Source organism: Homo sapiens, chromosome 8 (assembly GCF_000001405.40).
Source record: "Homo sapiens chromosome 8, GRCh38.p14 Primary Assembly".
NCBI classification, from domain to species: domain Eukaryota; kingdom Metazoa; phylum Chordata; class Mammalia; order Primates; family Hominidae; genus Homo; species Homo sapiens.
This window is the reverse complement of record NC_000008.11, coordinates 90,683,198-90,709,741: the sequence shown is the minus strand read 5'-3', so window position 1 is coordinate 90,709,741 and position 26,544 is coordinate 90,683,198. Positions and strand designations below refer to the sequence as shown.

General features: G+C 38.5%; 1 long non-coding RNA gene across 1 annotated transcript in view, besides 4 other annotated features; it reads left to right on the top strand.

The window, feature by feature from the left end:
• Nucleotides 1–19,328, top strand: part of LOC105375633 (uncharacterized) — a 101,755-nt gene extending 82,427 nt beyond the window's left edge. Inside the window, exons 2-4 of the long non-coding RNA XR_928389.4 lie at nt 186–306; nt 6,220–6,348; nt 19,167–19,328. This is a non-coding gene — a long non-coding RNA (uncharacterized LOC105375633). The remainder of the gene's footprint in view (nt 1–185; nt 307–6,219; nt 6,349–19,166) is intronic.
• Nucleotides 8,213–8,713: an enhancer, noted in NCBI's record as "H3K4me1 hESC enhancer chr8:91713257-91713757 (GRCh37/hg19 assembly coordinates)". NCBI's record gives its function as "activates a minimal SCP1, AML or CMV promoter by ChIP-STARR-seq in naive H9 embryonic stem cells {active_cell/tissue: H9 hESC(naive)}" and the evidence as "EXISTENCE:reporter gene assay evidence [ECO:0000049][PMID:30033119]".
• Nucleotides 8,714–9,214: an enhancer, noted in NCBI's record as "H3K4me1 hESC enhancer chr8:91712756-91713256 (GRCh37/hg19 assembly coordinates)". NCBI's record gives its function as "activates a minimal SCP1, AML or CMV promoter by ChIP-STARR-seq in naive H9 embryonic stem cells {active_cell/tissue: H9 hESC(naive)}" and the evidence as "EXISTENCE:reporter gene assay evidence [ECO:0000049][PMID:30033119]".
• Nucleotides 24,162–25,149: an enhancer, noted in NCBI's record as "OCT4-NANOG-H3K27ac-H3K4me1 hESC enhancer chr8:91696821-91697808 (GRCh37/hg19 assembly coordinates)". NCBI's record gives its function as "activates a minimal SCP1, AML or CMV promoter by ChIP-STARR-seq in naive and primed H9 embryonic stem cells {active_cell/tissue: H9 hESC(naive and primed)}" and the evidence as "EXISTENCE:reporter gene assay evidence [ECO:0000049][PMID:30033119]".
• Nucleotides 25,150–26,137: an enhancer, noted in NCBI's record as "OCT4-NANOG-H3K27ac-H3K4me1 hESC enhancer chr8:91695833-91696820 (GRCh37/hg19 assembly coordinates)". NCBI's record gives its function as "activates a minimal SCP1, AML or CMV promoter by ChIP-STARR-seq in primed H9 embryonic stem cells {active_cell/tissue: H9 hESC(primed)}" and the evidence as "EXISTENCE:reporter gene assay evidence [ECO:0000049][PMID:30033119]".

The following is a 26,544-nucleotide window of genomic DNA, read 5'->3' as shown; positions in this document are numbered from 1 at the left end:
CAAAGTGCAATCAATGATTATCTGACTTGTAGATTTAATAGATAGCTTTTATTCTTTCTTTTTTAGTTTGCATGTTTTAATTCTTCTACAATGAACACACAGTACTTATAAAAAACAAAACAATAACGTGCTTAGATTGGGTTTATGTTGCAGGATTCTAAACGGGATATGCTTTTTGTTTCCAGAATTCATGAAAGCTGAGCAAATTAAAGATGAGTCTTTAAAGATAACACAAAAAGTTCCCAGCCAAGATGGACGAATAGGAACAACTCTGGTCTGCAGTTCCCAGTGAGACCAATGCAGAAGGTGGGTGACTGCTGCATTTCCAACTGAGGTACCCAGTTCATCTCGCTGGGACTGGTTAGACAGTGAGTGCAGCCCACGGAGGATGAACAGAAGCAGAGTGGGGCATCGCCTCACCCAGGAAGTGCAAGAAGTTGGGGAACTTCCTCCCCTAGACAAGGGAAGCCGCCATGAGTGACTGTGCCATGAGGGACAGTGTTATCTGGCCCCAATACCACACTTTTCCCATGGTCTTCACAACCCACAGACTAGGAAATTCCCTTGGGTGCCTATACTACCAGGGCCCTGAGTTTCAAGCACAAAACCGGGCAGCCATTTGGGCAGACTCCAAGCTAGGTGAAGGAGTTTTTTTTTCATACCCTAGTGGCACCTGGAACACCGGTGAGACAGAACCATTCACTCCCCTAGAAAGAGGGCTGAAGCCAGGGAGCAGAGTGGTCTTGCTCAGTGAATCCCACTCCTATGGAGCCCAACAAGCTAAGATCCACTGGCTTGAAATTCTCGCTGCCAGCACAGCTGTCTGAAGTCGACCTGGGATGCTCGAGCTTGGTGGGGGAAGGGGCGTCTGTCATTACTGAGGCTTGAGTAGGTGGTTTTCCCCATTCTCTTGGCTTTTATCACTTGGCTTCTCTTTACTTATGCAAATTTATGCAGCCTGCTTGAATTCCTCCCCTGAAAAATGGGCTTTTCTTTTCTACCACATGGCCAGATTGGAAATTTTATGAACTTTTATGCTCTGCTTCCCCTTTTACATATAAGTTCCAACATTAGGTCGTTTCTTTGTTCACACATATGATCATAGGTTGTTAGAAGCAGCCAGGCTACATCTTGAATGCTTTACTGCTTAGAAATTTCTTCTACCAGATACCCTAAACCATCACTCACAGGTTCCAAATTCCACAGATCCCTAGACAGGGGCATAACACAGCCAAGTTATTTGCTAAGACATAACAACAGTGACACTTACTCCAGTTTCCAATAAGTTCCTATTTTCATCTGAGACCTCGTCAGCCTGGCCTTCACTGTCTATATCACTACCATCATTTTGGTCATAACCATTCAACCAGTCTCTAGGAAGTTCCAAACTTTCCCTCATCTTCTTGTCTTCTTCTAAGTCTCCAAACTCTTCCAACTTCTGCCCATTACACAATTCTAAAGTCACTTAAACATCTTCAGGTATCCTCATAGCAATGCCCCACCACTCAATTCCAATTTTCTGTATTAGTCTGTTCTCAGACTGCTATAAAGAAATACTTGAGACTGGGTAATTTACAACAAAAAGAGGTTTAATTGGTTCATGGTTCCACTGGCTGTACAGGAAGCATAGTGGCTTCTGCTTCTGGGGAGGCCTGAGGAAACTTCTAATCATGGTGGAAGGCAATGGAGAAGTGAGGCATTTCACATGCCTTTAGCATGAGCGAGAGAGAGTGAGGGGAGGTGCTGCACACTTTTTAACAACCAGATGTCATAAGAACTCATTATCATGAGAGCAACACCAAGAGGATGGTGCTAAACCACTCATAAGAAATCTGCCCCCATGATCCAGTCACCTCTTACCAGGTCCCACCTGCAAACACTGGAGACTACAATTCAACATGAGATTTGGTTGGGACACAGATCCAAACTGTATCACATTCAAAGAGACTTAGACTTCAACACAATAATAGTGGGAGGTTTCAACACCCCACTGACAGTATTAGACAGATCATCAAGGCAGAAAATTAACAAATATATTCAGGACCTGAAATCTGCACTGGATCAAATGGACCTGATAGACATTTATAGAACTGTCCACCCCAAAACAACAGGATATACATTCTTCTTCTAACCACATGACACATATTCTAAAATCAACTATATAATTGGAAATAAAACACTCTTCAACAAACTCAAAAGAACTGAAATTATAACAACCACTCTCTCAGACCACAGTGCAATAAAATTAGAAATCAAGACTAAGAAAATTGCTAAAAATCATACAATTACATGCAAATTGAATAAAATGCTCCTGACTGACTTTTGGGTAAATAATGAAATTAAGGCAGAATTCAAGAAGCTCTTTGAAACTAATGAGAACAAAGATACAACATACCAGAATCTCTACGATCCAGCTAAGGCAGTGTTAAGAGGGAAACTTACAGCACTAAATACCCACATTAAAAAGTTAGAAATATCTTAACAATGCAACATCATAACTAAAACAACTAGAGAACAAAGAGAAAACCAACCCCAAAGTTGGCAAAAGACAAGAAATAATCAAAATTTGAGCCAAACTGAAGGAGATTGAGTCACACAAAAAAATTCAAAATATCAACAAATTCAAGAGTTAGATTTTTGAAAAAATTAATAAAATCGATAGATCACTGGCTAAACTAATAGCTAATAGAGAAGAGAGAACACCCAAATAAACAAAATTGGAAATGATAAAGGGGATATTATCACTGACTCCACAGAAATACAAATAACCATCAGAGAATATTTTGAACACCTCTGTGCACACAAACTAGAAAATCTAGAAGAAACAGATACATTCCTGAGCACATACACCCTCCCAAGACTGCTCCAAGAAGAAATTGATTCCCTGAACAGACAAATAGCTCTGCAATTGAATCAGTAATAGGCTACCAACCCAAAAAAGCCCAGGACCATGGATTCACAGCAAAATTCTACCAGATGTACAAAGAAGAGGTGATACCATTCCTACTGAAACTATTCCAAAAAATTGAGGAGGAGCACTCTTCTCTAACTCACTCTATGAGGCCAGCATTAACCTGATACTAAAATCTTGCAGAGACACAATTAAAAAAAAAAGAAAACCCCAGGCCAATATCCTTGATAAACATTGATGCAGAAGTCTCTAACAAAATATTGGCAAACCAAATCCAGAAGCACATCAGAAAGCTTATCCATCACAATCAAGTGGGCCTTATTCCTGGGATGCAAGGTCCCATATGAAAATAAATAAATGTGATCCATCACATAAAAACTAAAAACAAAAACCACATGATTCAATAGATGCAGAAAAGGCTTTTGATAAAATTCATGTTAAAAACTCTCAAGAAACTAGGTATCGAAGGACCATACCTCAAAGTAATAAGTTATCTTTGACAAACCCACAGCCAACATCAAACTGAATAGGCAAAAGGTAGAAGGATTCCCTTTGAAAACCTGCACAAAACAAGGATGCCCTTTCTCACCACTCCTATGCAACATAGTATTGGAAGCTCTGGCAAGAGCAACTGTGCAAGAGAAAGAAAGAAAGGGCATCCAAATATGAAGAGAGGAAGTCAAGTTATCCTTGTTTACAAATGACATAATCCTATATCTAGAAAACCCTATAGTCTCAGCCCAAAAGCTCCTTAAGCTGAGAAACAACTTCAGCAATGTCTCAGAATACAAAATCAAAGTACAAAAATCACTAGCATTCCTATACACCAACAGTCAAGATGAGAGGCAAATTAGGAATGCAATCCCATTCACGATTGCCACAAAAAGTATAAAATACCTAGGAATACAGCTAACCAGGGAGGTGAAAGATCTCTACAAGGAGAACTACAAAACACTGCTCAAAGAAATCAGAGACGAGTCAAAGGGGAAAATATTACATGCTCATGGATAGGAAGAATCAATATCATTAAAATGAGAACACTGCCCAAAGCAATTTATAAATTCTGTGCTATTCCTATCAAACTATCAATGGCATTCTTTACAGAACTATAAAAAACTATTTTAAAATTCATATGGAACCAAAAAAGAGCCCAAATAGCAAAGGCAATTCTAAGCTAAAAGAACAAAGTTGGAGGCATCATGCCACCAGACTTCAAACTATACTACAGGGCTACAGTAATTACGACAGCATAGTACTGGTACAAAAACAGACACATAGACCAATGAAACAGAATTAGGAGCCCAGAAATAAAGTCACACACCTACAACTATCTAATCTTCGACAAAGCTGACAAAAACAAGCAATGGGGAAAGGACTCCCTATTCAATAAATGGTGCTGTGATAACTGGCTAGCCAGACGCAGAAGATTGAAACTGCACCTCTTCTTTACACCATGTACAAAAGTCAACTCAAGATAGGTTACAGACTTAAATGTAAAACCCAATCTATTAAAAACCCTGGAACACAATCTAGGCAGTACCATTCTGGACATAGGAACAAGCAAAGATTTCATGATGAAGACATCAAAAGTGATTGCAACAAAAGCAAAAATTGACAAATGGAATCTAGTTAAACTAAAGACCTTCTGCACAGCAAAAGAAACTATCAACAGAGTAAACAGAACCTACAGAATGGGAGAAAATGTTTACAAACTATACATCTAACACAGGCCTAATATCCACTATTTATAAGGAACTTAAACAAATTTATAAGCAAAAAACAACCCCATTTAAGCAAAAGTTGACAAATGGAATCTAGTTAAACTAAAGACCTTCTACACAGCAAAAGAAACTATCAACAGAGTAAACAGAACCTACAGAATGGGAGAAAATATTTACAAACTATACATCTAACAAAGGCCTAATATCCACTATTTATAAGGAACTTAAACAAATTTATAAGCAAAAAACAACCCCATTTAAAAATGGGCAGGCTGGGGGTGGTGGCTCACGCCTGTGATCCCTGCACTTTGGGAGGCTGAAGCAGGCGGATCACAAGGTCAGGAGTTTGAGACCAGCCTGGCCAACATGGTGAAACCTCGTCTCTACTAAAAATACAAAAATTAGCTGGGTGTGGTGGCTTGTGCCTGTAGTCCCAGCTACTTGGGAGGCTGAGCCAGGAGAATCGCTTGAATCCAGGAGGCAGAGGTTTCAGTGAGCCGAGATCACACCACTGCACTCCAGCCTGAGCGACAGAGTGAGACTTTGTCTCAAAAAAAAAAAAAAAAAAAAAAAGTGGGCAAAGGATAGGAACAGACACTTTCCAAAACACAACGTACATGTGGCCAACATGAAAGAAAGCTCAACATCACTGATCATTAGAGAAATGCCAATCAAAACCACAGTGAGATACCATCTCACATCAGTCAGAATGACTATTATTAAAAAGCCAAAAAATAACAGATGCTGGCAAGGTTATGGAGAAAAAGGAATGCTTATCCACTGTTGGTGAGAGTGTAAATTAGTTCAACCATTGTGGAAAACAGTTGGTGATTCCTTGAAGAGCTAAAAACAGAACTACCATTTGACTCAGCAATCCCATTACTGGGTATGTAGCCAAAGGAATATAAATCATTCTATCATAATGACACATGCAAACATATGTTCATTGCAGCACTATTCACATAGCAAAGACATGAAATCAACCTGAATGCCCATCAATGGTAGACTGGATAAAGAAAATGCAGTACATATACACCATGGAATACTATGCAGCCATAAAAAAGAACAAGATCATGTCCCTTGTAGAAACATTGATGGATCTGGAGGCCATTGTTCTTAGCCAACTAACACAGGAACAGAAAACCAAATACCTCGTGTTCCCCCTTATAAGTGGGAGCTAAATGATGAGAACTCATGAACACAAAGAAGGAAATAACAGACACTGGGACCTACCAGAGGGTGGAAGGTGGTAGGAGGGAGAGGTTCAGCAAAGATAATTAACAGGTCCTAGGCTTATACCTGGGTGACAAAATAATCCACCACAACAAACTCCTGTGACACGACTTTACCTATATAACAGACCTGCACATGTATCCCTGAACTCAAAATAAAAGTTAAAAAAAAAAATAAGTTTTCCTCATAGGAAAACAAAAAACATATTCCTCTTCAGGGTTCAGGAATGTTGTCAAACTTTGTAAAGTAATTGAATTTTCTCAGCACTGTGATGTTAATATTTTATAAACATTGCCTCATTTAATTTTTATAATAACTTTATGAAATGGATATTTTTCTTCCTACTTTACACAGGAGGAGGATGAAGCTCAGAAAGTTCAGTTGACCTGAGAAAAGTCACACAGACAGTGACTAGCAAAACTGCAAGCGGACTAATACTTACCTGATTCGAAGTCTCCTGATGGTTTTGCTATGCCTCCACGTGTAAGTGTCATAGTGGATTTTACATTTCTATACAAGACATATAACTTCTATATGAATCGCCCAAAGTATCACTAATTAACTACAAATTAGACTTCAGTTTATTGTATTATATACAGATTTCTTATTTATATAGAACCTATTGTTAGTTTGAATGTAGTTTTATCTGAATTACATGACTCCCAGGTCATATCTTTTCTGGGTATCTTCAAATTTATACTATTATATCCGTTATACAAAGTCATTATTCTTGCTCTACTCAAGGGTCATACTAACAAAGAGGTAACATTAGAAATTAAGAACATAAGAAAGGCAGCAGGATCCAGGTTTTATTTCTATGCTTTTGGTAAAATCATTTTTCATATGAAATAAAAACTTGGACAAAAATATGACATTAGCAAATAACTTTTTTCTCATGAGGTACTTGCATTTCCTCCGAAACAACAAAAATCTTTGGTTTGATTGCAACATACATTAGGGAAAATATGCCCTATTTTGTATTCAGAAACTAAAATGAAATAGGTATGGGTTGTGTTACTTGTTATACACACATAATTAAAAACAGTACTCTTAAATTTAAATTCTCTGGTCAGTAGGAAATAATAAAATCCAATCAATAAACCAGGGGTATATGCACTATGCACTGTCGTTGTGGTGTTTTTAGAATCTGAACATCAGCCTTGACAGGTAAGATTTTTGCCCCAGAGCTGCAGCACTAGCACAGTAAGGAGACTCCACCAGTGCCCTGTATTCAGTTCCAAGGGATCAGTGTCCTTGTGTTTGTTGCTACATGCTTCGATGACCACTGTACCACAATCCTTCAGTATTGGTTAAAGTACATTTTAAGGAGCCAAACCCCAGAATTAATAGAATTTCTAAAGCCCATCAGTCTGCAGTTTTCAAAAGCTAGAAGCTCCCTAGTTTAAGAACTCTGCCAAGCACTGTGGCTCACCATGTAATCATAGTACTTTGGTAGACCCAGGTGGGATGATTGCTTGAGGCCAGGAATTCAAGATTACTATAAGCTATGATCACACAACTGCACTCCAGCCTCGGTGACAGAGCAAGGCTGTAGAACACTACTCTGACCTTCTGAGAGTAGCATGATTTGCAAAAAAGCCAAGGAGAATGTTCAGTCCATGATTGCAACAAACTTAAATACCAAAACTCCCAAGAAACTTATGTTTAAATGTTTTGGACTTTGGGGGAAAGAATATCAAATATTTAAGCTCATTTCTTGTCTAATAAGCAAAAAGCCTTTCTTGGGACATAAAAATATTTCTGCTCTAGTAAAATTTTTAAAAAGCCAAGATACAGCAAATAACTCCATGTTCCAGTGTTCCTTTCCTAAATCAACTCACAATTACTCTTCTGACATGTACTAAGAGCTAATGTTCTTTCTGACAAACCAAGTGTGGACTAAGTGAGCACATTCCACAATGACACAAGGCAGAATAATGAATTTCTATAGACACTCACTTCTCAACTTTTGTATTTTCTGTGCTCTCAGAATCTATATTCATGGTTGCCTCTGCATGTTTCATGTACTCTCATTGGTTGTCACTTCTAGAGGGGGTCCTCAAACTGCATTAGGTTTGTGGATCACCCATGCTAAGATATCTGGACCCTTCATGGATTTGATGATATAATATTTGCTGTTAAACTTTCCAAATGGTTCCCCAGGGTAATGCCACTTGTGGTAATGATGGCTCCTTGAGTGAGCATGGTTATTTCAAGGTTCTCTAAATGAGGTGTGTACAACAACTTCCCATTAACTGACACCGAATTGCTGACTATGATATTGTTGGTGCAACAAAGTTCCATTTTCTTTTTCACTAGATCAAGAATCAGCAACACATGGTCTGCAAGCCAAATCTGGCCAGTCACTTGTTATTGTAAAAAAAAAAAAAAAAAAAAAGAGTTTCATTGGAACATAGCCACAATGATTCATCACATGTAGTTTATGACTGCTTTCACAGTACAATGGTAGAGTCAAATCATTGCGACAGAGGTGGTACAGCTTGCAAAGCCTAAACTATTTACTATCCAGCCCTTTACAAAATGTTCTTTGATGTATGTCAAAATCCTACTGGTTTCTAAAATCTGAGGTCTCATCACTTTGACAAGAGTGAGCAATCCCCACTTGATGCTGAGAAAGTGCTGCCTGTGAAGCCTTCCAAGAACATTGATATTCTGCTTTTATGCATTTACTTCCCCTACACAATGGTCATGAGATTCAAATATTTTCTCATAGCAGCTTCGATGGCTATGTCACATGGATAGTCAAACACATATTCTGAGCGCTATGTCCTTATGTATGCAACCCCGGAGGCCTAGGGCAGAGAGCGGCCCAACCTAGAGCTGAGCTGCTCATGTCAGCCACCCACCTATCACTGACCTGGGCATGCTGCACCAGAGGCTGAGCCCACTGCCAGGCTCGTCGTTCACTCAGCCTGAGGGAGTGGGGCTGCTGACACAATAATTTATGTTTTCCTCCCATCTTTTTTCTCATTTCATATTTTCCTGTAGCAAGCATGGCTATTCAAGTTATCACTTTTTATTAGTCAGCTTTCATTAGGTTATACTGCAGTAACAAACTTTATTATAAGCCGTTAGTGCTTATAACAACAAAGATATATTTCTTGCTTATGTTAAAAATCAACTAAGGATTGTCTCAGAGTCTGCTCCAGATGTGTCCTTTATTCCAGAATCCAGGCTGAAGGAGCAGATTTTCTTTGGTATGTGTCACTCTAGGGGCAAACATAAAAGAGAACTATGGCAGAACTATGTAATAGCACTTAAAACTTCTGCTCAGACATCCTGTGTGTTTCTTCTAGTCACATTTCACTGACTAAAACAAGTCATGTAGTCAAACCTGATATAAGTGGAATTGGAAGTATATTCCTCCCATAGAGAAGGTGCTACTGCAAGTCACATGGCAAGTCACAGGATTACAATCTTCTTTTAGGGAGGAAAGAGGAAAATTGGGAACAATAATGCAATTTATATACATTCTTTTGGTGTTTAAAAGTAAACGTCCTTCTGATTTAAGTTGCCATCTCATCAGGACGAGGAATTTAACTTGGGCTCTCACACCTTTAAATGCTTGAATCCAGACTGGACATATCCTGTGTTTACCATCCTCTGATGCTTTAAAAACCTTAGTGCCTTTTCTTGCCACGTAGCCAAATTGATCCTGAAATTTAAATCCCCAAAGTTTCCTATTTTAACTTCAGCTCCTAGAAGTCTCTATTTAAAGTTAAAATTCTATTAGTAGAACATGATGTTTTGCCTTTATCATTTTCAAGGATTTTTATGTACTGGATAAATGGTACGAGTTATGATGAAAAAGCTAATATCCTGTTCCTGTGCCCACCTCCACCTACCCACCCATGCGGTAAAAGATACATTAAACAGAACTTTTTGTATCATTGATGACTTTGAAGCTAATGGCTCTTGCTTAATGAGCCATTATGTGAACTTGTTTCATAGTGAACTTAGAGCCAGTTTATTAAACACAGGTAAAAAATCTATCTCACCATTGTATAAATATAGAGCACATAAATTTGCACAGTTACATTTTTTCTTTTGTCCTGTTTTGCTCTTTTTGGTTTATCATTCAAAAAATATGTATTAGATACATTTCATGTGCCTGTTACTCTTCAGTCTACCAGGCTTTAAACCTTTATGTGCTGGCCTGAGCTGAAAGGCTCCAGATAGAGGCCCTTCTGGGCTAGCCTGAATTGGGCTGCCAGGGGAAAGGCCTGTATTGTAACACAGCCATGAGAAGGCTGACTGAGGCCAATTCCTTTGAGTATTGCTTACTTCCTTAGCTGCATGCTGATACAGGTCACAGAGCAACATATAAGGAAATCACTTGAAGTCATTATCCTGAAACTGAGGTCCTCTAGGCACCTGAAATGTGAATCCCTGATTGCAGAGTATATCCTGGGAAATAAGATATATGTTGCAAGGTTACTATTTGCTTTACAAAGATTTACTATGAGGTCTTTACTTTTTAAAAATCTATTTACTTTTTAAATGATAATACAGGGTTCAAAAATCAAAAGACACAGGGAGGCTTGTAGTGAATGCTAACTCTTTCATCCTGTTCTCCAGCTATCCAGAGACCCTCCCAGAAAGCAACCATTGTTATCATTTCCTTGTGTACCCTTCTAGAGATATTCTATGCACATGCATGCACATTTTCTCATAATATTTCCTTTTCTTTTTCTTCTATTCTTTCCTTCCTTCCTTTCTTCCTTCTTTCCTTTAGTAAATGGTAGCTATTCTTCACTTTACAATATATCTTGGAGAGTGTTCCTTTCCCTACATACAGAATTGCTTTACTCATTCTAACTGTGAAAAAGACTAGCATTAAGTGCAGAGACTAAGGACCAAACTGTCTGGGTTCAAATTTTAGTTTCATCACTTATTAGCTTTGAAATGTTGGGCAAATTACTTACCCTCTCTGTTCTTCAGTTCTCTTGTCTGTGAAACATGAATAATAATTATTTCTCCTCATAGGGGTGTTATAATACTTAAGCAACTTAATGTGTAAACAAAGTTTGGCGTCACCTCTGGGATCCAGTAAGTGCTCAGTGAGGTTACTTATTGTCATTGTTACCGTTAGGTATTCCTGTATATAAAAGTACCATAATTTATTTCATCAGTTCCCTCTAGATGGTTATTTAGGTTATTTCTAATCTTTATATGTACAGTGTTCAATGAAGTGGTCAATGTAGATACATATCTACAAGGCCCTTCAAATAAATACCTCAGGATGCTTGAATTACCTGGGAAGACAGGGATAGGGAATGAGAAAATATTAATAACTTACATTTGTATCGCACCTTATATCTTGAAATAATATTTACATGCATTAATCTCATTTGAAGCTTAGATGACACAATGCCTCTATCTACTTCTCTCCATCTTCATCACCATCACCACCCTTTCAAAGTGCTATCAATGTGATCTCAGCACACTCAGATGGCACACATAGTGGGTATAAAATAAAATGTATTGAATATATATATAAGAGGAAACAGAGAGTAGAAAGTAGTAAACAATTTACTAAGTAAACTAATTACTAAGTTCCTATAGTTGGGAAATGCTGAAGCCAGACCCCCTGTGCACTTCCAGAAATACTTCACTGCATGTCTTAACAACTAGTAGTTACAGCTACTAGCAAAGATCAACAGAAAAGAAGGTAAACTTTCCCTCTTACCTAGTTATTGCTGGCACCAGTGGGATAAGAATATTCTCTTTACACAATTCCCTTTGAAAGAAACGTTTTCGTGAATAAATTTATATTTGTGTTTGTATTACAAGAGCAACTCTTTTGCAATTCAGAAAACTGCTGCAAATTTAAGTAACTTGATTACGGTTTTTTTTTTCAGAATTGTTAGAAAGGAGAGTCAAAATATGTGATAATATATTGAGGAAAGAACAGATAATGAAAATAAACTTCTATAATTAAAGTATGAAACATGGTTATCAAGGTAATTTCTAAACAGGTGGATTTGCAGTGCTTATTATTCATTTTTTAAAAGGCTTACAGAACTCAAGGAAAAGCAAGTGTGTCTTCTGAAAGTTAATTAGGATACCATCTGAGGAGCCTATGGAATGACCAAAACATCATTGATAGGATTGCTTGAATAACTATGGTAGGACAATGATATCCCTGATTATTTACTTCCTCATTCCCAGGTTTAAGTAAAATTACCTTACTCACACCAGCTCACTACCAGGCATCATGCAGCTCTGTACCTATGTAAACACAGGGTGCTGGGTGAAGTGGAAATTCTCCATGATTTATCCACTCCAGTGATCTCTATCAAAGTGCTTCCCTCAAAAGATTTCCTTTATGTGAACCTACTCTACACACCAGAATTTCTCAAAGTGTGACCCATGGACAACCTGTATCAAAGTCACTTGGAGTAGTTCTTTAAGAAGCAGAGCCTTGGTCTCTATCCCATACCTACTGAACTCAACATATCAGAGGGTGAATCTGGGAATTTGTATTTTAGTTAGTAGTGTGAGTGGTTGCTATTCACACAAAAATTTGAGAACCACAACTTGATGATTTAGGCAAATTACTCCTCAAGTACCACAAGTTATAGATGGATCCACTTTTCCAGGAAAAGCTTTGAACTTCTGTATTAGCTCTGCAACATGATCTCTAAATCTCAGAAAAATTACAGGAAGTTGCTATTGCCTGGCAGAATTTTTTGTTCTTCTTTAAAGTAATTTGTGGTCTAATTTCAGTCCCCCAAAGACCAGACTATAAAAGCCAGAATCAGTCTTAAAAGGGAAATTAATTGGTTGCATTGCTATCTTTCTTGACAGAGGACAGTGTTTATCAAGTAGAATTTGGAACACTAGAATCTGTACTGAGGCAAAGGAATAATCAAGGTTAATGCTACAATAGTTATAGAAATCATGTTGACAGATACTTAAAATATACATTAGACAAATTCAGAATTCATCTGCAAGGCAATAGATAAGGGGGAAAAGAGATAATGGGTCATAAAACATAAATTATCATGAACTTCCTGCATTCCTCTCTGTAGTCACCTGCTCTCCTTGTATTTCTTTTCCAAGCTTTTATTATCAACTGTCTAGTGAACTAAGAATAATAACTACTTTAAATTAAATAACACAAACATCCACAATAGTTTAGAATGAGAAAGATAGTAAAGTACTTAAGTAGAATTCACTTCTTGACTGCTGGAAGGTTACAGTAAAGTAGGTATCAGTGACAGTAACACTTTCATGCAGAGACAAACATGTGACTTCAAAACCTGCCTTCTTCAAGCCCTCTGGTCAGTACTCAGCTGATACCTTCACATAACTAAGGTAAGGTTTCTTCTGGACTTTTAGGTATACTAGGTTCAGTTTGCAACTTCATAGATGGAGGGAGTATTGGCCTCCCAGCTACAAATATCCTACATCCTGGGGTTCAAGCCCAGGGAGATGTCTGGAGGTTCACCTTGGAAGGCCCTCATTCTCCAGAATTTTTCCATGGAATGCATTTAAAGAAAGAGTCCTGCTGCTAACAAAAACTGAATAGGAATCACTGTCCAACTACAGCTGATGGACTGAGAGATATGAGGAATCTAGAGAGCTAGATTTGTTTTTCTACCTGCACTTCCTCCAACCCCCATGCTGCTTCCCCTTCTTCCTAGCATCCTCTGAATGTAGTAGCTCCTCAGGACTCAGCCCATTATCCTCTGCTTTTTATTCTTATCAGCTCCCCACAGGAGAAGTAATCCAACCTGAGAGCTTCACAGTCCTCTCTCCATGGACAATCATTGCATCCACCTCCCATTTCCAAGCCTGCAACAAAACTAAGGCTTAGAGAAATTAAATTATCTGCTCGAGGTCACTCAAGAAGCTGTAGCCTGCAAGTGGCAAAGATGGATGTATCGTCACTCCCACAGCCCATGCTTTAACCCCTGAGCATCTTTTGCTCACAGCCTTCTCTCACCTGAGCCAAATTATTATTGGAAATCTTGGCAGTATGTCAATTTTGACATGTTACAAATAAATTAATTGTTTTCCCCAAAGGGAAAAAAGCCTTCCTCAAGTCGATATTTTCATTAGTGGCATAGCTTTTTATCAACCCCCTAAACTCAAACTCAATAGAAACAAATGCTCAAAACAAATATGGTCAAACTCTTGCCTTGAAATAGATTATACCTGTCCGTTTTTATATCACGATCATCACTTTTATTCAGACCCTATCACTTCATGCCTAGACTGTGTAGGGTCCTCTTAATGTGTACCTGTGCCTCCACACCCATGTCTTTCAACCACAGAAAACTTGCTTGAAATACAGATTCCTGGGTCCCACCCCCAGAGGGGCTGATTTAGTAATTCCAATAAAGTGGCCCAAGGAAAATCCACTGCTCTGGACTTTCCTTATAAGGGTCCAATCTGTATGAAAGTGCCGAAACCATTCATCATCATTATAAAACACAATTTTGGAGATGTATGTATAGACAAGTGAGGATGAGGATTGAGAAGCTTAAAAATGATTGTTAAATTCCTTTGGAAAAAATGATAAATTGGAACAGAAAGACTATGAAACAAATCACAGAGGAAAATGTAATATTTTTAAAATGCAAGATGTAAAAAATGCATAAAGTTATAAGAAAGGCAAAGGACAACTGAAAGCATTAAGCACAAACATGGTATTTTCATCTGTAAATAGTGCATGCTCACTGATCCAAAACATGATATTCCTGCTCCAGACCATGCAATGAGTGTCCATGTTTGTCAAGGGGCAGACATTTTCAAGTGAATTTCATGAGCAGAATTTATTCTTTAAATAAAAATGTATGTGTAACCCCAACTTAGTGAATGTTGAGGAGTTGCAGTGGTTGAAGAAGGACAGAGGCTCTGAGCTCCCTGACCAGCTCCACCTCTTCCCTGCAGCAGACCTTGAGAAATGACTCAGGGTCCCAGGGATTCTGAGAATGCAATCTTGGGAGCCACTACTGGAGACCATTCACAGGCACACACAACTGCAAGCCACAAGCCTAGTTTATTTGTGTACTTGTGTGCCTCCAGCACAGGCATCTGGCCTGCACACCTTGCTGCAACAAGAAACACTTCTGCTGCTGGGATATAGACTCAATTTTAAGTTTGATGTATTCCATTTCAAACTGTTTATAGAAAATAATCCCAATTTATATAACATATTCAAGGAAATAAGACTTGGATGAAGATAACCAAAAAGTTAACAGAGATAAAATATTTTTAAATGGAAAACAAAATAATTGCTTTCAATAAAATACTATCTCAAACATTTTTTTTGTCATGGGACACATTCCAAACTTCTTATCTGGACATGTGAGCTGCCCACCGCTGGTGTCCCAGTAACGTATTGTTGAACACTTTCCTAAATGAGAGCTGTTCCCTAAGCCAGCCTCAGCCGCATTAGTCTCCCTGTTGTTCTCTAAACATCCATTGTGTGTTCCTGCTTCTCAGCTTGGTTCACATACTTCCCCTCATCTTCCTATTCAAATTCTATTCATGTTTCAATGTCCAGTACAACTTTCTTTCCCTCATGAAGCATTTTGTGAGCTCCTTGGGACACAGCAATCTCTTCTTATTTGAAATTGTAACACTGGTTTTCCGTACCAATCATTTGGCAAATGGGCCTTGCAATATATCCAGTATTTTAATTTGCCTTTAACTATTTCCTTAACATCTAAGAGTGTATATTACATTCAATCTCTCTCCTTAACTTAGTTCTATGTTCACGGTGTATATATAGAATGTGTTTGCCTAAAGAAGTGCAGTAAAAAGATCAGGTTTTAATGTCAGACTGCTCTGGGTGGGGTTTAGTGGGAACAGTATAACTCAGTTTGGTCATCTGTGAAATGTTGGTAACAATATTCCCTAGGATAATATGAAATGTGAAATAATATGTGTAAAACTTACAATTCCAGTCCCAGGAACAAAGAAGGACTTAGTAAATCATAGCTATTATTTATGATCATCATCATCATTATGCCATTATAAGGTTCCTCAGATCAGGAAAGATCAGATCTACAATGTAGCCCTAAATTACTACTTATTCAGCAAACATTTATTGTGGTGCCTGTTGCATCCCAGGCACTACATTATGGTAAACATGGTGACTTAGTTCTTGTCCTCATTGTGCCTACAGTTGGGTTTCATTATAGATGCAAATCTTAAACCATCAGGGCTAGAACAATTTTTCCAGGTATAATGGTGTTAACTAAGAGTCATAGTTTTCTGTTGTGAACAATAATGCACCTATAATAACTTCTAAGTACAATATATTATTTCATCAATTCATTTGTCTTCAGAGAAGTTAGAAAGACAAACAACTTCACATCTTAACATACTCATTAATCACAGTTGAACTCTGTTTTGCATTTGATATGATTTGATGTCGCTTCACTATGTCTCCATTGTTCATCACCTAAGAATGCAAATGCTCTGCAGTAATGGCAGAGAGGAAGATAGTGAAGCATCTGAATCCCCTACACATGTGCGTGCACACACACATACACACACACACACACACTCATGGGCTTATAGACTGTACGCAATATTTGTAATGGTTCCTGGGGTATCCGATCAATGGGCCCCACCATGAAACTAGATGACTTCCTTTTCACTCATTTCCAAAAACCCTGTATACCATAGCTTTCTCCAAAGCAGGCTCTGATTCCATTAACAGCTGTTACTGAAGTACCTTCCTACCATCAGCTGAATAAACATTTAAAATAATAATAACAAGAAAAAGGCTGGCATGTGCACACACTGACTCACTTAAACTAGCTCTTGAAACTCTGACCTATAAATTTAGGTCATTTTTCCACAGCACTTTTAAAGATGCTTCTTGGATAAATGACTCAGCTGGTGGCTTAATATTTTCCCATATTAAAAAAATGTCACAGATAGACTGGTATGTGACCTTGTGTACACCCATGAAGGCTAAACCATGAGGGTGAAATGAATATCATGAGGAAAGAAATAGCAGTTACAGCATAGGACTACGATCAGGAAATGGAATGCTTCACCTTGCCTCTTACATTTAAAAAAGTTACTTTCAGCTAGTTTATTTTTTAGATATTATTTGATGGGATAAATTGAGCCTCCTTAATGATATGCTTAGAGGGATGAATAAGTTGCTATTGGTTTGATTTGGTGATGTTTTGTTTTGGTTTTGTCTAGCTAATTGTGGTATGTGAGCACATTTGAAGCTTTGTACATGAAAGTAGGGAAAGAGAGTGGCAGGAATTTTACTGGCACAGCTGAAAGGATTTTTCTGGAAGAGAGAAGAAAGATACACAATAACTTCCATAGAAAATGGAATCATGGAGAAAGAGAGAGGCATTAATAGAGAATTCCTAGGAAGTGTTGCTATGTGCTGTGGGATCAAACTCTCCCCTCTGTTGGTGATCCCCACTAACAACTTCAGAGTTGTATTTGTGAGTAAGAGAGGCAGGCAGCCTACGGGATGAGTGCTTAGTGAGAAAGAGCGTTATAAACAACTTAGAATTGTATTGCTCAAAGGGGGATAATGCCATTCTTCCGTTTAAATTTTCATTTAATTTTCCTTTAGTGTAAAGAACACTTGAATCTCTAATAAAAAATCTTGGACTATGTTATGGTCTCAAACCAATTTCCTAAATAGGGTCATTCAAGATTTATATAGCTCAGATAAGCCACCTTAATTTAAAGACATATTAGCAAGCAAACAGCTCGGTGTTTATCATTTTATTGGTTTTAATTTTTTTCTAAACAATCCATGTTCATTATCAAAATTGCAAAAGTTGAAAAACTGGTACACAGTTAAAAGTCCCCCAAGGGTAACTGGTAATCTAAATTAGAAACTCAGTGTCAGGTCACCTAGACTTTTTTCTAAGTATTGACTATTAATCTCTTTAATCAAAGCTACCTCCATAGTTGTTACAATGACTTTACAATTATAGCCTGGTCCTGCACTATTTTAACCTTTGTTATTTTACATCTATTGAACCTATTTACTTTTTGGAGTTAAAGTTACCCAGTAGGATTTATATTTGGAAAGTAATTATTAATGGGATAAGATTCTAATTTTTAAAATATTTTGTATTCATATTATCGTTAGGCTCTCAATTCTTAGCTTTATTTTTCATGGAAAGTTTCAAATTTTCAAGGTTTTCCCCTAAAAATCCTAAATTCTGAAATTCCTTCTCAGACTTCCTCTTGATTGATTCCTGTTGACATAATACAAAACTGTATTATGTTTTGTGAGTATGTAAACCGCACTGTTAATTTAAGCAAAATGAAACTAAAAAGAATTGTCTGCCTTTGTGTACTCCAATACATTAATGCAATTTAAAGTTAAAGAAGTGTAAGTTTGAACTTTCTGTGTTACTGACCCCTCGATGAAATAAATGAAACTTACCAATATTCACATTTAAAACGTCATAGGCCTTGTAATTATTCAACAAGAATTAGTATCTAATTCTGACAAATAATGAAAAGAAAGAAAAAGAAAATAAAAAGGAGAATCTTAGAAGTCAGGGAGAGAAAGAAATAATTACGTTATTATTTGTTTGTTATTCAAAATGGCTTTCAAATGAGGAGGCTGCCTCTTTCCCTGGAATAGCTTCACAAATGTTTCCTTCCACATTGAAACTATGGTCAATCATTTGTCCTGGCTGTGGATTAATGAAGCCTCTTCTGTTCCTTACTTCCTGACTTTGGTCACTCTCTACATCCTGATCAGCACAAAAAGCTGCAGCCAAATAAAAAAAAGATTCAACAAGGACTGCCTCATCTCCTCCCACTGAATTTAGATGAGTCTTTATTGCTTTTAGCGCCTCACCCAAATAACCTACCCAGACAATAGGTAATCAATCTCCTTCCATTTCCATTTGATTAAATTAAAAGCGGCACTTAATTTAAGCAAATCGAAGGAATGTTCAGGCCTCTTTGCCTTTCTCTATTTCCTTCACTATGACTTTTTTCATGTTGTTTATGTCAAATCATTTCCTCTTTTGTATCATTTAAGTTAGTCTCTCTATTCCTAGTTCAAAACTCAAAATTGCACAAAATGTATTTCTTCCAGAAGTCTACCCTGAATAATCTTGTTAAGGTAAAGATGAGGGTAAACTATATAGTTCCTAACCTTGACTCACGCAAGATATACCCTATTCAAGGATTCACCACCTAGGAAATGCTTTCATTCATTCATTATTCATTCACTCACTCATTTAAGAAATTGGTATTGATTTTGCTATACCACCAAAACTAGATTACCATTGTTTCTCACTGTGTCCTAACAGAGAATGCCTATCCATTGCAATTCCCTGCCTCAGGGACCAGTGGAAGAAGGGTGAGAGCAAAGAATTGGAAAGAGAAGATGTTGGCTTTCCTCTTTTCTATCTGCAAGACCCCTGCCTAGACATATCTGTGTGGTGAGTTAGAAAGGATTTTCTATAAGCTCTTTTCCCCTTAAGTCTTCTAGGCTAATTCACAGAGTCCATTTGTACCAGTATAAATTGATTTTTAGAAATCAATATTTCAGCCAGTCTTGGTGGCTCACACCTGTAGTCCCAGCACTTTGGGAGGCTGAAGTGGGTGGATCACTTGATGTCAGGACTTTGAGACCAGCCTGGCCAACATGGTGAAACCACATCTCTACTAAAAATACAAAAATTATCCTGCTGTGGTGGCAGGCATCTGTAATCCCAGCTACTTGGGAGGCTGAGGCAGGAGAATTGCTTAAACCCAGGAGGCAAATGTTGCAGTGAGCCGAGACTGCACCACTGCACTCCAGCCTGGGCAACAGAGCAAGACTCTGTCTAAAAAAAAAAAGAAAAGAAAAGAAAAATGAGAAATCAATATTTCATATACGAATACCTATTGTACAAAGAAAGCTGTCACAATGGTTAAAACAAATACACTATAAGGAAGGAAATCTGAATAAAGTATTGACTTTAGTAAATACTAATATATTATTATTGGTTCATTAGTTAGTATGCCATACTAACATAATATGTTAACAATAGGGAAAACTGGGTATGGAATATATGGGAACTCTCTGTACTATCTTCATAAGTTTTTTATGAAATCTAAAAGTATTCCAAAAGTTTGCTTAAAAATACAATATTAAAATTAAAATACAATCTTAAAATATTAAAGGTTTGCTTAAAAATACAATAAAAAAATTTGGTGCAGCCCTTTTTTCAAATTCTCCACTTTTTTGTTTAACTTTTGATTAAAGAGAATTTTGTTATTGTTCAAATTGAGACTCAAAGTTTTGTTTTCATTTTAAAAAGTCAACTGTTCCTTTATAGACAACTGAATGTGGGGAATGGAAGTAAGCCAACCATCTGCAACCCCAGTCAGTTCAACTTCAAAGTAAAATAAACTTAAGGCAAATAATTAAATAGAAGCAAAAGCTTACATACACTAGCTCTACACTACTCTCTCTCCCCTACCCCCCAAAAGAAAACAAATATGAATGTCTGTCATTAGGTAATGGTTTTAATAAATTATAGCACATAAGCATTATAGAATATTATGTGCCCTTTCAAAATAAAAGGATAACCATAGGAATATTGAGAATTCCTTAGCATGTAGTAACAGGTGAAAATAGCAACATATGAGAGTTTATATTCAATAAATGCAAAAATAAAAAGTGTTTACATATTGTAAGTATCTTACAAGAGTAAGATATGTTGTTTATTTGTTCATCAAAACATCAAATGATATTATTATGAAGTAGTTATATTTCTTGTGGTAAGACTGTCAGTGAATATAAGTTTAAAAGGAAACAATAAGCACGTCATCCTTTTCTATACCTTCTAAATCTAAATGGGTTGACTTAAGAGCCCTAATTCCTGTAATAGCAGGATCTCAGTCTCTCTTCCTTTTTTTTCTTTTATTTTTTGAGAGGGAGCCTCGCCTTGTTGCCCATGCTGGAGTGCAGTAGCGCGATCTCGGCTCACTGCAACCTCCACCTCCCAGGTTCCAGTGAATCTCCTGCCTCAGCCTCTGGAGTAGCTGGGATTACAGGCATACACCACCACATCCAGCTAATTTTTTTGTATTTTTAGTAGAGACAGGGTTTCGCCCTGTTGGCCAGGCTGGTCTTGAACTCCTGACCTCAGGGAATCCACCTGCCTCGGCCTCCCCAAAGTGCTAGTATTACAGGTGTGAGCCACTGCGCCAGGCCCCTCTCTTCCATTTTTTAAGGTTTCTGTTCTAGTGGGATGACTGGGAAGGAGTGTGGGAGAGAGGGAGGGAATTGCCTATGCCTCAATATCCTCTGTTATTTTGTTCCAGAATAACCTTTGCTTTTCACCCCATTTGTTTTGCTGTTTGTTTGTTTTAGGGCCACTGTCCTCCATTAAACTAAAGCTGGCCTCAAGTAGAGCTTGCTGCTGTTCTTTATTATTTTGCAGGTCAAAATTTAGGCACTTGCATTGTTGTGCAGAATAAGTTGTTTTTAAATTTTTAATCTATAACTGAACTTTATTCAAAAGCTTGTCTTTCTGCATAGTTGTAAGCTTACAGTGAATCTTACAGTCAATTACTTTCATTAACAATATCTTATAGTTAATCTACTTTTATTAAATTTACCAAGACAGAGAGAGAATCCTATATCCTACATCTCTGATGTTCAAAAGTAACTTTTGGAAGCTTTTGTTGAGATTACTGTATGATACAGTTTGTCTCTGTGTTCCCACCCAAATCTCATCTCGAATTGTAATCCTCATGTATTGGAGGAGAGGTCTGGTGGGAGGTCACTGAACCATGGGGGCAGACTTCCCCCTTGCTGTTTTCGTAATAGTGGGTGAGTTCTCAGGAGATCTGGTTGTTTGAAAGTGTGCGGCACTTCTCCCCTCACTCTCCTTCTTTTCTCTCTCCTGATCCGCCATGGTAAGATGTGCTTGCTTCCCCTTCACCTTCTGCCATTGTCACCGGTGGAGGGTGTCCAGGTTCTTGGCGTCTTGAACAAAGAATTGGACAAAATGCACAAACAGAGCAAGGAAGAAATGAGGGATTTATTGAAAATGAAAGTACACTCCACAGTGTGGGAGTGGGCCCGAGCATAGGGGCTCAAGGACCCCATTACAGAATTTTGGGGAAATACCCTCTAGAGGATTCCATTGCTTACTTGGGGTGCAACCTATGAAAATGAGGAGTAAAGTTACAAAGTCATTTACTTGGCCTATACCCTATGGAGAGGATATTTCCTGTCATAGCTGAAGTGTGAATCGGCCTTGAATTCCCTGCCTCCAGACCTTGTTTTTATGCCTCATCTCCCTGCTGAAAGATGTGATCCCCATGGGAGGCAGAGGAACTGATGGTCTTTTTTTCTGTAACTGCTTCATGCTGGCTTGAGGCATAGCCCCTACCTATTGGGGATCATGGAACTCTCACTCTGCTCTGTCTAGTGGAGGCAGGGAAGCTCCTTGATGGCCCGGGGTGGGGTCTTCACCTGGAACTGGCTAGAGCCCTTGCTGCATGATGGTCTGAAGCTTGATGGTCTCTAGGCAAAAAAAAAAAAAGAACTTGGTTAAAAGATTTAATGGGAACTTCAGGGGGTGGATACTTATGCTGTCAGGAATATTTATTATAGGGATTTGCAGAAGAAAAATGAAACCTGATTTGTGGTGTGTTCTAGGATCTATGCGTTTCCTTAAAGTCTTAGCATGAAAGGCTCCATTTTAGTTTGGTTTGGTCTGTTGGGGCCTAGTGCCTGAGCTCAGTCCAAAATAATGGCCTCCCATAATTTTGTTTAAAAAATTCCCCCTTTTGGTCAGGTTCTCACTTAGGTGAGATTGTGACCAAAACTTATGGCCTTAGTGCCACTCTCAGTTACCATCATTTTTGGTTTCCCATCTCAGCACATCATTCATAGGTTACAGTGTCCTCATGGTTGCACATTTCTTTCAGCTCTTGTCATTCCAGTTGAAGAGAGACCATATGACATTCTAGAGATGGCTACATGCAAGCATTTAAAATCTTTGAGAGAATACAGTGTACCAGGGAGACTATTATTATGACTATTGGGAGGATAATACCAAGAGTTTGGAGTATGTTCCTTACCCAAGGTCTTCATAAACCAAACCTAAAATCAAATAGATCAAAAAATGACTTAACTAAGCAGTTTCTTCATTAATCCGCTACAATCAAATTTCTATGATCTTCATTTGATATATTTCTCCATAGGCCACAAGTGCCAGCAGCTGCACAGATACTTCTTTGTTCAGCCAATCCTAACATAACTTTCACACGAGAATTTGAAGTCTGTTGTGTAACTGTAGACTTTACAGTAGAATTTGCTATAGAGCCTATCATGAGGGAATCATTACTTCTTTTACTTTAAAACATGGAAAAAGGACCTAACAAATGATGCCCTTCTAGAAGAGCAAAAGCCTCCTGGCAATGCTCTCCTTAACCCCTGCTGTGGGTCAAGAGGAGTGAACTAATGTTTTGTTTTTGACTGATTATGAGGCAACCTATGTACCATTAAAGTTTCCTACCTACATTGGGACTTCATCTTTTATTTATCAAAGTATAAGTTTATCCATATATAAGGCTGGCTGCAAACTCCTTTACAAATCAAAGTACACCCCATAAGTGCACATAACAGACTCCCTTTTCTCTTCTATTGTTCATAGAGGCATAAGCAAGAGAAAATATTCAAAGATAAGAGTTTCATGACAGTAGAAGTCTTAATCTGTGAACTTGGGAAAAGCTGTTCACATCAAGGATGCCATTTTCTTCTTGGGAGAAATTTCCCTGGTTAGTTTTACCTTAAGGGTTCCAATGGGTGTACAGTTTTGAGAGCATGAAGGTACCTTTCTCAGTTATGAGATTATGAACTCAAAGCTCAAGCTCCCTAAGTTTTGTTGTAATGTGGATGGCAAGGACAGTTTTTCTTTGATGTTTCCAGAAGATCCAAACCATAAAAAGCTTTCTTTACCTGGTGAAAATACACTGTAGCATAATAATCTACTGTTATAACATCAGCCCTCTTGCATAGGAAAGCTTTTATACTGTAGGGGTGGGTTGCCCCTCCACACCTGTGGGTGTTTCTCATAAGGTGGAACGAGAGATTTAGGAAAGAAAAAGACACAGAGACAAAGTATAGAGAAAGAAAAAAGGGGACCCGGGGAACCAGCGTTCAGCATATGGAGGATCCCGCCAGCCTCTGAGTTCCCTTAGTATTTATTCATCATTTGTGGGTGTTTCTCAAAGAGGGGGATGTGTCAGGGTCACAAGACAATTGTGGGGAGAGGGTCAGCAGACAAACACGTGAACAAAGGTCTTTGCATCATAGACAATGTAAAGGATTAAGTGCTGTGCTTTTAGATATGCATACACATAAACATCTCAATGCTTTACAAAGCAGTATTGCTGCCCGCAGGTCCCACCTCCAGCCCTAAGGCGGTTTTTCCCTATCTCAGTGGATGGAGCATACAATCGGGTTTTATACCGAGACATTCCATTGCCCAGGGACAGGCAGGAGACAGATGCCTTCCTCTTGTCTCAACTGCAAGAGGCATTCCTTCCTCTTTTACTAATCCTCCTCAGCACAGACCCTTTACGGGTGTCGGGCTGGGGGACGGTCAGGTCTTTCCCTTCCCACGAGGCCATATTTCAGACTATCACATGGGGAGAAACCTTGGACAATACCTGGCTTTCCTAGGCAGAGGTCCCTGCGGCCTTCCGCAGTTTTTGTGTCCCTGGGTACTTGAGATTAGGGAGTGGTGATGACTCTTAACGAGCATGCTGCCTTCAAGCATCTGTTTAACAAAGCACATCTTGCACCGCCCTTAATCCATTCAACTCTGAGTTGACACAGCACATGTTTCAGAGAGCACGGGGTTGGGGGTAAGGTCACTGTAGGGGTGGGTTGCCCCTACACACCTGTGGGTGTTTCTCGTAAGGTGGGACGAGAGATTTGGAGAAGAAAAAGACACAGAGACAAAGTATAGAGAAAGAAATAAGGGGACCCGGGGAACCAGCGTTCAGCATATGGAGGATCCCGCCAGCCTCTGAGTTCCCTTAGTATTTATTCATCATTTGTGGGTGTTTCTCGAAGAGGGGGATGTGTCAGGGTCACAAGACAATTGTGGGGAGAGGGTCAGCAGACAAACACGTGAACAAAGGTCTTTGCATCATAGACAATGTAAAGGATTAAGTGCTGTGCTTTTAGATATGCATACACATAAACATCTCAATGCTTTACAAAGCAGTATTGCTGCCCGCAGGTCCCACCTCCAGCCCTAAGGCGGTTTTTCCCTATCTCAGTGGATGGAGCATACAATCGGGTTTTATACCGAGACATTCCATTGCCCAGGGACAGGCAGGAGACAGATGCCTTCCTCTTGTCTCAACTGCAAGAGGCATTCCTTCCTCTTTTACTAATCCTCCTCAGCACAGACCCTTTACGGGTGTCGGGCTGGGGGACGGTCAGGTCTTTCCCTTCCCACGAGGCCATATTTCAGACTATCACATGGGGAGAAACCTTGGACAATACCTGGCTTTCCTAGGCAGAGGTCCCTGCGGCCTTCCACAGTTTTTGTGTCCCTGGGTACTTGAGATTAGGGAGTGGTGATGACTCTTAACGAGCATGCTGCCTTCAAGCATCTGTTTAACAAAGCACATCTTGCACTGCCCTTAATCCATTTAACTCTGAGTTGACACAGCACATGTTTCAGAGAGCACGGGGTTGGGGGTAAGGTTATAGATTAACAGAATCTCAAGGCAGAAGAATTTTTCTTAGTACATAACAAAATGGAGTCTCCTATGTCTACCTCTTTCTACACAGACACAGTAACAATCTGATCTCTCTTGCTTTTCCCCACAGGTCACAGAATCTCAAGGCAGAAGAATTTTTCTTAGTACATAACAAAATGGAGTCTCCTATGTCTACTTCTTTCTACACAGACACAGTAACAATCTGATCTCTCTTGCTTTTCCCCACATATACAACCAGAAAACATGCATTGAAAATAACAATTGAATGAAATCCCTTTATAAAATGTTTAATTGGCCAACCAGGTGACCAAATGTACCTGAAGCTTTAATGGTTTTTTCCAGGAATATGGGATCAAACATTGGTTATAAACTATGTTAGTAATTTGTAAGTCACCACACCAATGTATTCAATTTGGATTATTTTATCTTTTCCATGATGAGTCATGGGATGCAGAACTTTTAAGAATTAAAGCTCTAAGGACTCAGGAAGGACAAGGAGGCCATCCTGGTTCTCCATGAGTCCATGCTTAATTAACATTAGACTTATATCCTCTTGGATACACCTAATTTGTTTTTCCAAATTAGGTGCATAGCACTGACAAGGAAATTTGGTTATTGCTGTGGTTTACAATAACTTAACATAATAACCATAATTATAATACATAGCATATACTTAGACATTAGAATTTTAGAAATCCCATGTAATTTTGGAACATATATTAGTATTATTCACAAAAAAAAAACATAACCTAAAGAAGACTGAACATCATTTTGGCAATCCCATGTACCTAAAAATGTCAAATAACCTTGTTTACTTCCTTTTTGTATGTTTTCAGGGGCCCTCTGATCCATCCACAAAGCCAGGCATTAGGAAAGACAATTTTTTTTTATTTTAAGACAGAGTTTTGCTCTTGTCGCCCAGGCTGGAGTGCAATGGCACGA